At 48.1% G+C, this 16,331-nt stretch overlaps 2 non-coding genes and 1 pseudogene across 4 annotated transcripts in view, besides 1 other annotated feature; 2 read left to right on the top strand and 1 right to left on the bottom strand.

The window, feature by feature from the left end:
- Nucleotides 1–16,331, top strand: part of ZNF767P (zinc finger family member 767, pseudogene) — a 77,637-nt pseudogene that overhangs the window by 3,542 nt on the left and 57,764 nt on the right. Inside the window, exons 3-4 of one of the 2 annotated variants that reach the window (NR_027789.1) lie at nt 77–203; nt 1,212–1,325. The product of NR_027789.1 is annotated as a zinc finger family member 767, pseudogene, transcript variant 2 (transcript). The remainder of the gene's footprint in view (nt 1–76; nt 204–1,211; nt 1,326–16,331) is intronic. The other variant, NR_027788.1, reaches the window with a different exon arrangement.
- Nucleotides 344–483: an enhancer, noted in NCBI's record as "active region_26818". NCBI's record gives its function as "activates an Ori minimal core promoter by ATAC-STARR-seq in GM12878 lymphoblastoid cells {active_cell/tissue: GM12878}" and the evidence as "EXISTENCE:reporter gene assay evidence [ECO:0000049][PMID:35858748]".
- Nucleotides 8,113–8,184, top strand: TRC-GCA19-1 (tRNA-Cys (anticodon GCA) 19-1). The gene has a single exon. It is a non-coding gene; the product is annotated as a tRNA-Cys (tRNA).
- TRS-AGA5-1 (tRNA-Ser (AGA) 5-1) lies at nt 12,802–12,873 on the bottom strand. Its single transcript has one exon. It is a non-coding gene; the product is annotated as a tRNA-Ser (tRNA).

The raw sequence follows: 16,331 nt of genomic DNA, 5'->3' as shown, positions 1-16,331 counted from the left end.
GCGCCCTGGGGTTGGGGAGGCCGCGGGCCAAGCCTGTGAGCGTGTGGGTGAGCGAGTGTGACGCTTGTGGTTTCAGGTGCCTATGACATTTGATGATGTGGCTGTGTAGTTCTCTGAGCAAGTGTGGGGCAAGCTGGAGGACTGGCAGAAGGAGCTCTGCAAGCACGTGATGAGGGGCAACTGCGAGATGCTGGTCTCTTTGGGTAAGGCCTGACACTCATTATTGGATTTTGGAAGTCCGTGTACTTCTCTCTGCACGTGGTTGTTTTCATGACAGTGATATGTAAATCACCAGAAGCGTTGACCTTGAGAGTTGTTACCTCCTGTGAAAGATGAGCCCTGGGTGATGGAGTTAAAAGCTCCCTTCGCCCTGTGTGCAGGGCCCCAGAATACCAAGCTGGGAAAGGTGGTGGCTTGTCTCCTACACAGGTCCAGGGTATGGACCTTTCTATTGGTGCTTACTTGGAGCGGGGAGGACCCCTTCTGTTCTCAGATCCAGTAAGTAATTGACTCACATTTGAGAAAGACTCTTTCTAATTCGGCCTTCTTCTACAGATACGTGTGGCCCTTACGGCAACATGCTTTGAGGTCAGTGGAGAACATGGGCCAGCGGTGCTGCTTGCAGCTGACATTTTCTTCATGCCTCAAAACTTTACTTCCCTCATTTTCTTGGGCTACTGCTGCTCTCCTTGTTTGATCCTGCCCAGGAAGGGCCTGGACTCTGTTTCTTCCCGGGCTGATTTCCTCTTCCTGATGGTTTCTGTGTGATCCTGGAGCCAAGGGCAGTGAGACCTGTTAGAGAGGGCAGGAGCAGGTGCAGACGTGAGGTTGTTTCATCAGCACAAGTGCACTGCTGTTTAACGTGCACGCTCTGTGGCAGTTTCTTCATCCCGGCACTGTGGACATTTGGGACCAGGTGATTCTGTGTGTCGGCGGCATCCTCTGCATCGTAGGATGTTGAGCAGCAGCCCTGGCCTCTCAGGGCATCTCCAGATGCCAGTCACCTCTCCCCCAGCCCTGGGCATGACAACCAGAATTGTCTCCAGACTTTGCCAAATGTCCCCGGGGAGGAAAATTGCCTGTGGTTGAGAGCTACTGCTCTCAGGAGACAATCAGGAGATTTTGTTTCTAGACCATTGTTGGTTTTCAGGGCTGACTGTCCTCAGCTCTGACTGGAACGTGACAAAAACTAACCTTCTGTCTTTCCTCAGACTACGCCATCTCCAAGTCCGAGGTCCTCTCCCAGATTGAACAAGGGAAGGAGCCCTGCAACTGGCGCCGCCCTGACCCCAAGATTCCAGATGTTCCTGTGGACCCCAGTCCAGGTAAGGGCTGGGAGAAGGCCAGGGAGGCATCAGGTATTTTGTGGGAAACAGAGATGGAAAGGCCAGGAAGGGTGTGATCTTTCCAGAGAGAGTCGAGGAGAAACATGAAACTTACAGGTTTTATGTCTTGAATTTTTTATAGTTGAGTTTTAATCTCTAACTTAGTCAGCTAATGCTCCAGAAACGAACACTTTCTATCAGGGAAACAGGTGACAAACCTATTCTTTTAGGAAGAGACAAAGGCAGGGCACAGGTTGAGGGGAGGGAGAGGAGGACACTGAGAGGGAAGGCAGGAGCATAGTGGACCCTTGAACAACACAGGGGCCAGGGGCGCCAGCCCCCAGTCCCACGCAGCTGAAGATCTACGTCTAACTTTTGACTCTCCAGAAAGTTAACAGATAGTCTCCTATTGACCAGAAGCCTTGATACTATGAACAGGGAATAACACATATTTTGTATGCTCTATATGTTATGTATAGTATATTTACAGTAAGCTAGAGAAAAAATGTTATTGGGAAAATCATAAGGAAAAGAAAATATATTTACTACTCATTAAGTGGAAGTGGGTCATAAAGGTCATCATCCTCACTGTCATCTTCAGATTGAGTAGACTGAGGAGGAAGAGGAGGGGTTGGTCTTACTGTCTCAGGGGTGACAGAGGCAGAAGGAAATTCACTTATAAGTGGCCCTGCATAGTTCAAACCCATGTTGTTCAAGGGGCAGCTGTGTATTGAAAACAAAATTAATTCAAAGCTTTGCAAAGAGTCAGTCTTGCTTCCGAGAACCAGTGTCTATTTATTTATTCATTTATTTATTTTTGAGACGGAATCTTGCTCTGTCACCCAGGCTGGAGTGCAGTGGCACGATCTCAGCTCACTGGCAACCTCCGCCTCCTGGGTTCAAGCATTTCTCCTGCCTCAGCTTCCCGAGTAGCTGGGATTACGGGTACCTGCCATCGTGCCCAGCTAATTTTTGTATTTTTGTAGAGACAGGGTTTCACCCCCGATGTTAGCCAGGCAGGTCTTGAACTCCTGACCTTAGGCCATCTGCCCGCCTCGGCCACCCAAAGTGCTGGGATTGCAGATATGAGCCACCGCGTCCAAACTCAACCTTAATTTAAGCCAGTAGCAGTTGTAGAACATAAACCCATTGGTCAGCCTTATGGTTCAGTATGATTAGAGGCATACATTTATTTAAGGTGAATCTGGTTACCAGATATCAGTGTCTCAGATTTCCCTGGAGCCAGTCAGCACCTTTGAAAGTTAAGGGAAGGACAGATGGACACAGGAGAAAAACCACATTTCTGAATTGGAGACCTGCTGGTCATTTGACCACAGAGACCACATCTCTGCAAGGCTCGACCCCTGATTCCTCCAGAAGACCTGCCCTTGACCGTCCCACCTGCTTTGGTTTTCCCTTTCGTCTGACACTGAGAAAGGTGGTGGTCCGCAGAGGCCCTCCTGTGCGCCACTTGTGTGAAATTAAATGCATCCCCCATGTTCGTCATCTATCTCAGTCAGATTTGCACTTTCCTAAGGGCAGAAGCATGTTCCGGGCTGGCCGCTTTGCCAGTCGTCATCAGGACATTGACAGTTTAGTTCTACAGATGCATTTTTGAGAATCTTCTAGGTATCAAGGACAGTGCTAAGCGCTGGAGGATGTAAAGATGGCCGAGGACAGATACTTTTGGGCTGGAAAAGAGGGTTACAACCCATGCGCGTCCAGCTTCTTAGCCTGGGTGGGAGGTTCTGGGTGGGTGGGTTTCGTTGTATTTACACCGTATGTGGAGGCTTCTCTCACTTCCACGGCATCATTCAATGAGAGTAAAGAGGGGCTGGAAATATGTTGGTTGCTGGTAAGACCCTGTAACACTCTCTAGCTGCATCGTATGATGTTCAGCAGCATCCGTGGCCTCTACCCACCAGTAGACAAGATGAGTAGACACAAACTCCACTGTCCATCCTGAGCCTGTTGGCAGGGATCCTGTGTAGCCTTTATCCCTGTCCTGTTTTTCCAAGGAGCCGGGAATCATGGCTCATCCCTTGCCACATTTGGTCTGACCCATCCCCTTGTGAGACCTCACCTCCCCTTCTCCTCACCTCCTGCACATCCCTCCACTGAGCCTTGTGGGACTTAGGGCTCAGCAGACCCGCCAGGTCCTGAGTGTTCCCTGCTCAGACTGAGCTCCAGGGGACTGCAGCCCTCTGAGTGCTTGTCATCCTCTTCCCTGCCTCCATCTGAGCCCAGGCCCACCAGGGACAGGGTCCTCGCCTCTCATGATTGCGTCTCTGCCAGCCTCACTCCCTCTGTAGAGACCCTGCCTTTGGGTCTCAGGCCTCGTCTTTTTTGCTGCTTCTGCAGACCTTCCCTCTCTTCTCGTCACTCTTCCGGCCCTCAGTCTTGGCCATGGCAGCCTTCTTGTGGATGGTCCTGTGCCCCCTCCACCCATCCCACGGCCATCCATGACTATGATGACAGTGACTGCACCACAACCACCATCTCCATCTCCAGCACACCACTCCCCAACCGCCTCCTGCTGTCCCTTCAATTCCCTCTCTGGTGTCCTGATTCCAGCAGTTTCCAGTCTTTCAAGACCTGCAAGCCATCGATCTTGCCGCCTTTTCACTGCCCTCTCTCATTTCCCTCCATGCCCACCATTGTGGTCTCCCTTTGCACACAGCCCCAGTGCCCTTGCCCTTGTTTTGTTCATTGTATCCACCTGGTGAAATCCATCAGTGTTCTGTGCCTGCAGCCAAACAGCTGCACGTGGTGCAGAGAACCAGGTAAGCTGGCTGCTGGTGTCACGTGACATCCACGCCCAGCGACTTCAGTGGGCGCTCTGCCACGCAGTCACACTGTGTTTCCCTAGCCTAGGGGCCGGCCAACTGTGGCTGAGGGCCAAATTTAGCTCATCTGTTTCTGTATGGCCCACAGCTGCGATTGGTTTTATATTTTAACCCCCTTTTTTTAATTAAAGAGAAATACACCACTCACTTGCACAGCTCTCCCCATGCCATCTGCCTGCACCTGTGCCCCCTTCTCTGCCTTCAGTCCTGTGACTGCTAAACTGTCGACTCTCCAGCCAAAGCCCCACTTCCACCTGGTGCTGCATCCCACCCCATGCCAGCTTCTCAAGGGCAACACAGTCAATCCTACCTTGACCTCTACCCCTACAGCCACGGCCTGCTTCTCTGCTCCGCTTCGTGGCAGAGCCCCTTGGGTACATCTGTGCTTGCTGTCTCTTGCCTCTTCCCTCCCACTCTTTTACCCCTTCCGCCAAAACCTCTCCAGCCTCGGTTACCAGGGCCCTCCGTGGTGTTAAATGGTCTGTCTTCTTACTTGGCCTGTTCGTAACACTTGCCATGTTGCTCACTTTCCTCTCACCTGCCACCCACCTTCACTGCTCTTTCTTCGCTGGTTCCTGTTGCCCTGTGGAGCCTCTCAGCCCTAGAGCGCCCTTGGTTCTCACACCCGCTCTCTACTTGCATTTCCTCATTCCCATCGTCTCCCAGGGTCTTGGGGCCACACATACCATCTAGGAATGTGTGCCTCAAACCTGGGTTTTTGCCCCAAATTCCGCACATCTAGCTGCTTGGCCTGTATCTCCACCTCAGTGTCTCATAAACTCCCCCCAAACATTCCCAGCGCTGAGCTCCTGTCTTCTCTGAATAGCCTGCTCCTCCCACATTCTCCCCAACCCAGTAAATGGCCGCTCCATCCTTCCATTTACAGGCAAAACCCCACGAGTCCTCTCTGACCTCCTCCTCCACATCCGCATCCACTCCACCAGAAACCCTACTGGCCCTCCCTGCCAGGTTTGCCCAGAGTCTGTCCACGCCTCATCCCCTCCACTCTGACACCCAGGCTTATCGTCTCTTGCTGAGGTTGTTGCCAGCCCCTGCCCTGATCCCCCAGAGTCTCATCTCAGCCCAGCAGAGTAATCCCTTTTAGACGCAAGTCCTGGCTTTCCATCTGACCCGCACTATTGGCTCACCTCCTCCACTTTTCTCTCACTCTGCCCAGCTGCACCATCCCTGGTGGTGTCCCCTCCACCCTGTGCCAGGACCTTCGCAGTGCCCTCTGCTGGGAGTGCTCCTCAGGCAGGTCCCACCTGCAGGCCTTTCCTGTCATCGGCACTGCAGCCCCTCCCCACCCAGGACTCCGGGCCTACTTTCCTGCTTTCGGTCTTCCGTGTCAGACAGCGTCACATAATATATATATTTCCTATTTATAGATTTCATCGTATGTCAGGTCTACCTCATTAGAATGTCAGTTTCAAAGTACAAAGACTTTTTAACTGTTTTCTTCATATATTCATTCTAGGCACCTGAGATATTGCTGAGCATAGAGTAGGAATTCAGTAACTATTTGCTGAATGTATGCCATGCTTTGTAATTCAAAATGTGTGTGTGTGTATGTGTGTGATGTGTGTGTGCGAAATAATGGATTTTTGATATCATTTAGGTCTCCCAGACCTCTGTAGGGCAGCCGCTTGTCCTGAATTGTCTGTTTATCCTTTCTATCCACATTTTTTTTTTTTTGAGCCGGAGTCTCTCTTTGTCGCCCAGGCTAGAGTGCAGTGGCACGATCTTGGCTCACGGCAACCTCCGCCTCCCAGGTCCAAGCAATCCTCCTGCCTCAGCCTCTGGAGTACCTGAGACTACAGGCGCATGCCACCAAGCCTGGCTAATTTTTTGTATTTTTATTAGAGACAGGGTTTCACCATGTTAGCCAGGATGGTCTTGATCTCGTAACCTCGTGATCCACCTGCCTCGGCCTCCCCAAAGTGCTGGATTACAGGCGTGAGCCACCGTGCTCACCCTCTATCCACATTTTAAAATGTCTACTGTGTGCATTGGTAGTTGTGAACAATATATGGATTTTTGTGTTTTGAAACATTACATAGATGTCATTATATTTATCACTCATTATTCTGTATTTCAGACCTATCCATGTTGATACATGTAGATCAAGTTTATTCCTTTTAACAGATGCTTAATATTCCAGAAGCAACTATATTGTAACTTATTTTCCATTCCTCCACTGATTGGCACTTAAGCTTTTTTTGATTTTTCACACTCACAAGCGATACCGTAGTGATCATTCTTGGGCCTGTCTCTTTTTGTGCCCCTGTGGGGATGCTACTCCAGAAAACAGACCCAGCGGTGGCCTCACCATATCATAGGCTTGCTTGATTTTGTCTCTGCCATTGCCATATTGCTGTCCCCAGAAGTACCCCAGTGCCACCAGGTGCGCCTAGCAGCAGCTAGCTATGAAGAACCTGTTTCTTTATGTCTGCCCAGTTTCTATAATTACATTTCTGCCAACCTGATGGGGAGAGATCCTTGTCTTAATTCAGGATACTGGAGGCCTGAGCTTCAGAGCTCAAATAGCCTTCGTGCCTGGTCCTGGCTCTGCCAGTTGTGCTGAGCTAATGGTTTGGGGCTAGCATGGGGCTGGGTCCCCTCTGTTAAGGTGGTGTCTCCCTTTTAAAGGGAAGGACTAGTAAGTGAGGAGAGGGAAGAAGAGAAGACAGTCAAAAAATGTAGGCCAGGGCCCAAAGTAACCCCACTGTGCAGAGGGTGAAAGTGAAGTGGAGAGAGAGTATGGGATGTAGGTAAGAGAAGATAAAACTAAAGTAGGAGAGAAGGAGAGAGGAAGCTTCCAGCTCTAAACAGGAGTTCTCCAAATTGTTGCCCCACACAGGGACTGAGGAGGAGGCTGCAGGATTCTAGGCAGGAAAGATTTCTAGAAGTCCTCTGATAGGTCCATGGGGAAGGACAGGGTAAGTTCAAAGCCAGATAGAGGTCTGTCTGAAGGAGGTCAGTTGCCAGTGGTTCACTGAAAATGATGAGAAATTACAATGTCTATTAGATCCTTGGGCGTGGGAACATAGGTGAAACAGTGTCAATCAGGAAAGTCTAAACAGTTGAGAGGGCACCTTTTGGGGGCAGAGCATCTGGCTGCATATCTAGTCCCTGGTTCAAGATGGTGTCACTTGTTGGCCCTTCCTTTCACTCTGCCCACGTGTTTGCAGTCACTCCGTCCTGTGTCATGTCTGTGACCACAGATTTCTCTGATTCTCCACTTCTCCACTTTTCCATGGATTGGATCTTGTCTTCTGGTCACTACTTTTATCTGACACATTGTGGGATTCAGCGAATGGAGGAGAAGAGGAAAGAAGAGGAAAGGAAAAGGCAGTTCAACTCCTGCCTCAGAGTGTTCAGTGCAAAGAGGCCCTTTATCATGAATGTGGATTCTAGTCATGACTTGGTCATTAATCAAGTGTGTTTTGTTTGGGCATGATTTTAATTACTGTCATTTTTTCTAGATCTATACCATGGAAGGGAACAGATTAAACCAGTGTTTCCAAACTGTAAGTCAGAATGGTGCAGGGAGTTGGTTAGAAGCACACATGTCCCTAGGTCCTTTCCCAGATAGTGTGGCTTAGGAGTCCTCAAGTGGGGCTCAAGAACTTTTGCTTTTACCCAGCTCTGCCCAGCCCAGCCTCACCTTTAAAGGGTCTGTTGAGCAACCAGTTCTTTTGAGTCCCTCTGTTCTAGGCGAGTCTGAAGGATGTTCTGGCTGCAAACCGCAGTGATTTTAATGTCCCTGCCTTCAGTCACACACTGGAGAAGGAAGGATGCTGGTTGTAAGTAGAGCTGGCAGGCAGGTGTGGAGTAGGAAGGGGGTATATCGTGACGAAGCAAGTACATATCTCATAATGGTGACAGTCAGGGTGTGGCCATACAGGTTTATAGTTCTTATTGGAGACAGGCAATTACATGGGGGTATAGCTCAGGGGTAGAGCATTTGACTGCAAATCAAGAGGTCCCTGATTCAAATCCAGGTGCCCCCTTCCTGTTTTCTTTTGTTGGGGTGATCAGACCCAACACCAGGTCATGGGGGTGACGAAGTCCAGCAGAGTCAAAGGAATGAGAAAAAGACAGTTTGAAAGAGAAAGTGGGACCAGAGGGCCATGGCGAGTCTGGAGGCTGCAAAGGCCCCAAGCATTGGGAGCACACGCTATTTATTGGTGCTCAAACAGGTGGTGAGGATGTGGGGATTGAAAGGAAACAGTGTATCAAGTGAATGAGAAACATTAGCATAGTGGGAGTGCTAGAAGCAAGGAGCCAGCAAGTCTAGCCAGACATGCAAGCCCTGCCTCAGCTTCCCTCCCAACATCTTTTCACTCACTGATCATGATAGGATGTTCTACTCTTAGCTGTTCTTCAACACACATGGATTCATTCTGCAAAGCAGGAGAGAGAGGAAGCAGGTCAGGTCTTCACTAGAAAACCTCGCCTGACACCGGAAGCTCTAGAGAAGACCAGTTTCTTGAAGGCTAAGTCAGTGCTCACAGGTCTGGGGAGAACTCTTTTTTTCTTGCACATCTCAAGCCTCATTTGGGGAATTCACAATTGTGTAAGTCTTGGTGGAAGACAGGATCCTGTCTCTGGTTAAGGAAAAATCGAGGTCAGATGTGTCCTCCCTCTGAATGTTGGTGTGTGAATGAGGGTTCCTCAGAAAAAACAGAACCAATAGGGGCTGTATGTGTGTGTGTGTGTGTGTGCACATAGAGATTTTAAGGAATTGGATCATGCCATTGTGGGAGCTTGCAAGTCTGATGTCTGCAGGGCATGGCAGCAATCTGGAGACGCAGGGAAGAGTTGAGGTTGCAGCTCGAGCCTGAAGACAGCATGGAGGTAAAGTTTCTTTCTTAGAAGACAGCAGACATTTCCTCATAAGGCTTTCATCTGATCGGATGAGGCCCACCCACATTTTGGAGGGTAATCTGCTTTACTCAAAGTCGATAGATTGAATGTTAATCACATCTAAAAGATACTTTCACAGCAGCATCCAGATTGCTATGGACAAACGCCTGGCCACCATGGCCTAGCCAAGTTCACACATTAAAGGAAAAAAAAAAATTTTTTAAGACAAACAGGGTCTCCCTCTGTCACCCAAGCTGGAGTGTCGTGGCGTGGTCGCAACTCACTGCAGTCTCCATCTCCTGGGCTCACAGCCTCCCGAGTAGCTGGGACCACAGGTGTGCATCACCACGCCCAGCTAATTTTTGTATTTTTTGTAGAGATGGGGTTTCGCCATGTTGTCTAGGTTGGTCTCAGTCTTCTGACCTCAAGTGATCCACATGCCTCAGCCTACCAAACTGCTCGAATTATAGGCGTGAGCCACTGTGCGTAGCTGACACATAAAACTAACCAGCACAATTGGTAATGGCTTCAGTTTGGCCAACTATATTCTCCTAAACAAGACTGTGAATGTTGAATAAATCCTGCATAGAGGCAGGGTTAATTTGGAATTCATTCTGGAGATGGCAGAGCTCTGGCAATGGCAGTAGGGCCAGAGGCTGCAGCCAGCGTCTGTTGTGGTGGCAGTGGCTGCTCCCAAGCCAGGGTGGGCTGAGGTCCTGCCTGGTTTTTTTGTTTGTTTGTTTGTTTGTTTGTTTGTTTGTTTTGAGACAGAGTCTCGCTCTCTTGCCCACGATGGAGTGCAGCAGCACAATCTTGGCTCACTGTAACCTCTGCTTCTGGGGTTCAAGCGATGCTCCTGCCTCAGCCTCCCGAGTAGTTGGGACTACAGACACCCACCACCACACCCAGCTAATTTTTCCATTTTTAGTAGAGACGAGGTTTCGCCACCTTGGCCAGGCTGGTCTGAAACACCTGACCTCGTGATCCGCCCTCATCTGCCTCAAAGTGCTGGGATTACAGGCGTGAGCCACCGCACCCAGCCGGTCCTGCCTATTTGACGAGCCTGGCTCTGCAGGCTTCCCTAAGGTGCATGAGCTTCTTGCCATCCTGTGAGCAATTGCCCCCGTGTCTACAGTAACCTTAGATGACGTCTTCTTTAATCAAAGTGCCCTTGCTGGTACCAGGGATGTGTAACAAGTGATTACAGAAACGTGAAGGGAATGTGAATTGGAAATCTGGCCTCATTAAACTTGAAGGTAATGATAATCTAGGTAGTTTATGGGGATAGAAATCCAGAAGCCTATATCAGACTGTAGAAAAGTTGAGTAACTTTTGCCTGCAGTTCCATCAGGACCAATTTGTAGTTCCCAGATTATAAGTGGCCTCTGGGCAGGATGGCTGGTCCTACCAGTTTTAAGGCAAATAGCTCACGTGTCACCCTGTATGATGTGTTCTACATGGACAAAAACACAGGCCTTTTTCTGACTGTATAACAAAACTCTCTGATCTCCTGCCACCGAATAAGTGAAACAGCTGAAAATGAGAGCCAGGGCTGATCCCTGTGGCTTGCCAAACTTTGATGTCCATGGAATTGGCAGCTTCCCCCAGTCTCCCAGCTGAAAATAGGTCAGTGATTAAGAGGGTAGAACTTCAGGGTAGAACTTCAGGAATTGTAAGATGGATTGATGGGAGCATTTGGAAAACTTGATTTATCCCAAATCACCAACCCTACCTAATCTCCAAGCCTGCCGCTTCTTCCTGCCTGAAAGCCGACCAGCCCAGATGGAAGGGTTTTCACTGCAAGAGATTGGGTTCCCCACCCTCATGGTCTCTTGACCTACAGTGAGAGTAAGATCTCAGTTGAGCCTGGGCACCAGTTGCTGGGAGGCAAAGACTCAGATACCAAAATCATTTTCAACTGGCTAATGTATGTCAGCAAAAACTTCAAGACCATGTGTGGATACAGATTGTTGGAGTACTTCATAAAGTAGAAAGACTGTAATTTTAAATGAGCCTGAATTTTTTATTAGGAGTGTACCCAGTTAAAATTCTATTTAAGATACCATAGCTAGAGCAGCTGGGATAAAACTGTTTGCTCCATTGGTGGATCTAACCCTGGATTCACAGGAGGCCAATTCTAAATGCATTTGAGATACTAGGAATTTCTTGCTATAATGTAGAAAGAATCCATACGCTTCAGGGGGTAGGTAAGTTAGAGTGGATTTATCACGTGTGACTTAACCTGGCTTGAAAAATACGTAGGTGTGTGGAGCTTCTACATTCGTAAAAAGAGTTCTGGTAGCTGTTGTCTGTGGACAGAGATGCTGGTGGGAGGGATGATAGTGGAAAGGGAGCCCCTGATTTCAGTGGGGCTGGGAGGATTCTAGGGTGTCAGAGGCCAAGCACTGTGATATTTTAACCCAAAGTGAAGTTTGGGTGTTATTCCGTGGTCTGTGCCACACAGGTCTTGGCTGTGACTCATCAGTGGTAAGGATTTTCGGCCTGAGAATGGGGAGCCCATCGTGGTCCCCTAGACGTGTAGACCTGAACTACCACCATAGCTGGCACAATGGAGGTTCCTGACCTCTGACCCATTCCCCAGGTCTGAATCTGCTCAAAGAACCTGCCTCCCTTGATGATAGGGAAGCCAAGCTTGAGAAAAGGACTCTGCCAAAATATCCAGTCACGGACAGTGAATCCTTCTGCCCGATTTCCCATATTAGGCCCTTCAGCTATTTGCCTGGAAACTACATGGAGGAGTGGGAAATATCCACATAATTTGGGATTATTGGTGGCTCTGCTGCATCTGTGAAGCTTCTGGAGATCCAGTAATTTGGGTAACATCAGAATATCCCAGAAAAGAACACATCCTGCATCTTGCTTTGTTTAGCTACCACCATCAGAGGGGGCTCGAGAGACCACAGTTACTACGCGCGGTGTGCTCCTTTCACCCAAAAGGCTACAGACTGCAAGGTTTTCATCACATAATAATGAGATGAGCCTTAGGGGACAGACCAAAAGGTTCCAATCGGCTTGCCCGTTACCTATTCTTATTTTTATTTACTGATTTTGGAATCTGACTCCAGCTTCCTTTCCCTTGCTGGAGCCCATGATCTGTATCTGTCTGCGTGGAGGAGAGAGAAGAGGTTGATGGTTTCAGGTCAGTCCTCTGGGTAGTCCCAGCTGACTTCCTCTATCATCTCGCTCCTTGCCCACAGTCTCACAGAGCCTCCCAGAATCCTGCTTTTCCCCAGTCCTTGGTCTGGGTAGGCCAGGGTGTGAGTCTGCAGCAGCCCCAGATGGGAAATCCAGAACCTGAGGGCCCAGAGCCAAAGTCCAGGGTGCAGCACACTAAGCTCAGAAATCTAAGCTCATTAGATTTCTCATGCCCATTGAAGGCGGGCATGAGACTGTGGCTGTTTCAGGTTCTCCTGTGCCACAGTGGAAGCTGGGTGCTGTGGAAAATACAGCAGGACTTAGAGACATGGCCCAGCCCTCTTCGGGATCACGTGGATGTCCCTAGGGAGATTTTGGACTACTCTGCAAAAGTGCTGGAGTGGTACCCAGAGGGCTGCAGTAGGCAGAGGTCTGTGTCTTACAAACTTTAAAGTCCATAAAATCATTTGAGGACTATTGAGTCTGCACTTCAGAGATGCTGTGCATCAGGGATTAGATAGGCTGTGTCATTTTTCCCCAAGTGGGTGGATTGGGTGGAGCTTATGACCCAGGACCCACTTTGGTGATTAAAAGTAAAACAGGGTAGGGGGCACCTGGATTTGAACCAGGGACCTCTTGATCTCTAGTCAAATTCTCTACCCCTGAGCCATACACCCAGTCATAGGAGGACAGTGTAATTAACACCATTTTCATGTGTCGACACACCAAGACCAAGACCCAGCTCTGCCGGTTTGGATGTCCAGGCCAGTTCTGTTTCTCTGAACTCTGGCCTCCCTCCTGTCACTAATACTTCTTTCTCCATCATCACTTCTGGCTAAGGTCACCCTGGTGGGCTTGTTGACCTTTATAAATGGAGAGACCCTTCAAGTCATCCAGATAATTCTCTTAGTAGCAATTGTTGAACATCATGTGAGGTGTGCTAGGCTGGGGACAGAACTGTAACTAGGTGACACCACCTTTCCCTGCACTGAAAGGAGACCCAGTGGCTATGTCTGGAGACTTGTATTTGACATAGAATACTGTTCGTGATAATTTGTCAAATGAAAAGCAAATTTCTTTTGTTAAAAAAAAAGATACTCAAAAAATAATAGTCTTTTAAAAATGTGGCACATACACACCATGGAATACTATGCAGCCGTAAAAAATAACGAGATCATGTCCTTTGGAGCAACATGGATGGAGCTGCAGGGCGTTATCCTTAGCAAACTAACACAAGAACAGAAAACCAAATACTGCATGTTCTCACAAGTGGAAGCTAAATGATGAGAACACATGGACACAGAAGGGGAACACTACACACTTGCACTTGAGGGTGACAGGAGAGAAGATCAGAAAAAATACATATGCATAGTACATGGCTGACGAAATAATCTGTACGCCAAATCTCCATGACATGAGTTTACCAATATGACAAACCTGCACGTGTACCCCTGAACCTAAAATAAAGTTAGAAACAAAAAGATTCTCTACAGAGTACCACTTATAGGAATTTGTCCTTCAAAAATATTCCTATAATTGCGTGAAGACACATATATGTGGAGATTCATGGAATGCAGTTTTTAAATTCCTAACAGCAAACACTGGAGACCATCTAAATATCCATTGGCAGGGAATTGGTTAAAACCAGGCTTTGTCTCTTACCCTGGAGGGGTTGAGGAGAAGGTGAAGATGCAGAGAAGCAGAGGATGCTGAGGGGACTGTGTACCTTGGTCTTCTCAGTCAGGTAGAAAACAGGTCATCCAAAGAGAATAAAGGAGGTAGGGTGGGAATCATTACTTGGGAAGAAGGGCAAAGCGTGAACCAGGCACTGTGGGAAATGGAGAAGAGGTGAATTAGAAAGGAATAGAATCATTGCTCATTAGAGAGAGGCACTGGTTGAGGTGAAACTGGTGTAGACTTGCAGTGGGACCATTTGCCTGGCTGTACAATTTACTCCACCAAAGACTGGCGCCCCCAGAGCAAAGGTGGGAAAGGCCAATGGCGAGTGTATCTGCGGAAGCAGAAGGGCCCATGAGGGTATACAGACCACAGGCCAAGCCCTCAAAGGAGCTGGAATCATGCTGAGAGGCCAAACATGGGGTCCATAATAGGCAAGCAGATAGCTGAGCCCCAAGGTGGCTCTGGGGTCTTGGGAACAGAGAGAGGTAGACAAGATTAAGGTCAAAATGAGGATAATGAACCGTTTTCTGTAACAGTAAGTACATGTAAACATCAAAAGAGGTGTCATTGAAGGAGTTTTCTAAGATCTGGAAAGGGAACAAGTGATGATCAAGTTTGGCAATGAACGTTGAACAACCAAAATAACAAAGGATTATAGCAAAATGGAAAGAAGCAAACAAACTAGAAGCTTAAAAGCTACCACTTAAAAGTCCACAGCTAGGTGGTCCAGGCATGGCTTTCCATAGGGTCAAGAACCCGAGTTCTTCTTTCTGGCTGTCTGGCCGGCTTGGCTTTCATTCCAGCATGCCATCACCCACATTGGCATCTCATCGACCTCCCAGGCAGCAGAAAGATGGAAAAGACAAGTCTTTCCTGTAAGGACACCCATCACTTTCACCTGCATCTCATTGACCAGACTACTGCCTGTAGCCTCACAGCTCCAAGAGGGTCTGGGAAATGCAGATTTCCTTCTGGGAAGCCGTGTGCCCAGCTGATAACCAAGAAGCACGGTAGAAGACACTAGTGGAAAATGCTGAATCTGTGCCTCACTACACCCCTTGAGAGCCGCCGTGAGTGGAGTTTGTGAACATTCTTAGAGGCAACAGGATGGAAATCTCAAGAGGCCTTATCATTGGAAGCATATTGCCATGGTGTTTTGACATTCCTGAGGACAGAAGGAGAGGGCGGTGAGGAAAATAAGATTGTTAGCCTGGTTCTAAAAGTGTCCACTGTTTGTGGAGTCCCGTATGTCAGAGAAGACATGAATGGTGAGAGGAGGGAGTGGTGAAAGAAGATGGCTTTGAGAGAGGAGAAGCATGGAGAGATGGTGGAGGAGCTGGAGTTTGGGGGCAACGTGGAGAACGAGGCTGAGAAGGTGACCCTGCCCTGTCCCTTCCAGAGGTTGAAGGGGAGGGATGGCTTCAGGGGAAAGCTGGCCTTCAGGTGTACAAGGATGGATAAAAAGGCAGACTTGCAGGGAAAGGCTAAGGAGGAAGGAGACTGTTTACAGAGTAGCTGGAGGGCTGGCGGGCTTGGGTGGAGGAGCTGAAACAGTAATGGGGATACAGGAAGGAGACTGCCCCGAGAGACCGTTTCCACTAATAGAAGGCATTGGAGGGCAGGGACGGGAAAAGGGCAAGTACCCAAGTTCTAGGCCAAAGCTCTAAGTGTTTGTGAAACTGGAACAGCAAAAGCTACTTCTTAAAAACCTTAAGATTTTGTGGGTATCTAGTGAGCGTATATATTTACGGGGTATATGAACTGTTGTGAAACAGGCATGCAATGTGAAATAAGCTCATCATGGGGAATGGGTGCCCATCCCCTCTAGCATTTATCCTTTGAGTTACCAATGCCACTTTTTTTTGGAGGGGTTGGCAGGGAGTACTAAATAAAAAGTTCACATCTCTTGTTAACAAAAGGAATCTACTTTAATGAATAGGAAATTATGCAGCACATCATTGAAAATAAAAGAAGCTCTGTTTTTCAGGCCACTACATCTTATACTAATAAGGAGAGTCACAGGATGCAGAATATTTTCAACTCAGAGGAGTAGAGCAAAGCGCCATTTGCTAAATGATCAAATTAGACAGAGCCTCAAGTGACACTACACTTGACCAGGCTCTGTCTTCAATGCCTGCTTCTCTGTTGTGTTTTCCTGCCATTCAATGTAAAGATAGTAAGACTTTCTTGCTTTGAGATAGTTTTATTACAGGAACATGTTTTTAACCTATCTAAAATATAAACTTCTGTTGTGTACATAAATCTGAATTATTAAATGTATTTTAGATACTTTTTAAAAAGGTTCATAAAACATGATTAGTATAAGGGATACTAAAAATCATGAATTGTGCTTCTGAATTCTATGCTGTATAGCTGAACCTCCATGAATTTTAAGATTTGTGTCAAAAAAGCTATTTGTTCTCTAAAGCATAGAACGCCATGACATCCTCTAGTT

The sequence above is a fragment of the Homo sapiens genome, chromosome 7 (assembly GCF_000001405.40).
Source record: "Homo sapiens chromosome 7, GRCh38.p14 Primary Assembly".
NCBI lineage: Eukaryota > Metazoa > Chordata > Mammalia > Primates > Hominidae > Homo > Homo sapiens.
Note: the sequence above shows the minus strand (reverse complement) of the source record. Positions and strands in the feature narration are given on the sequence as shown.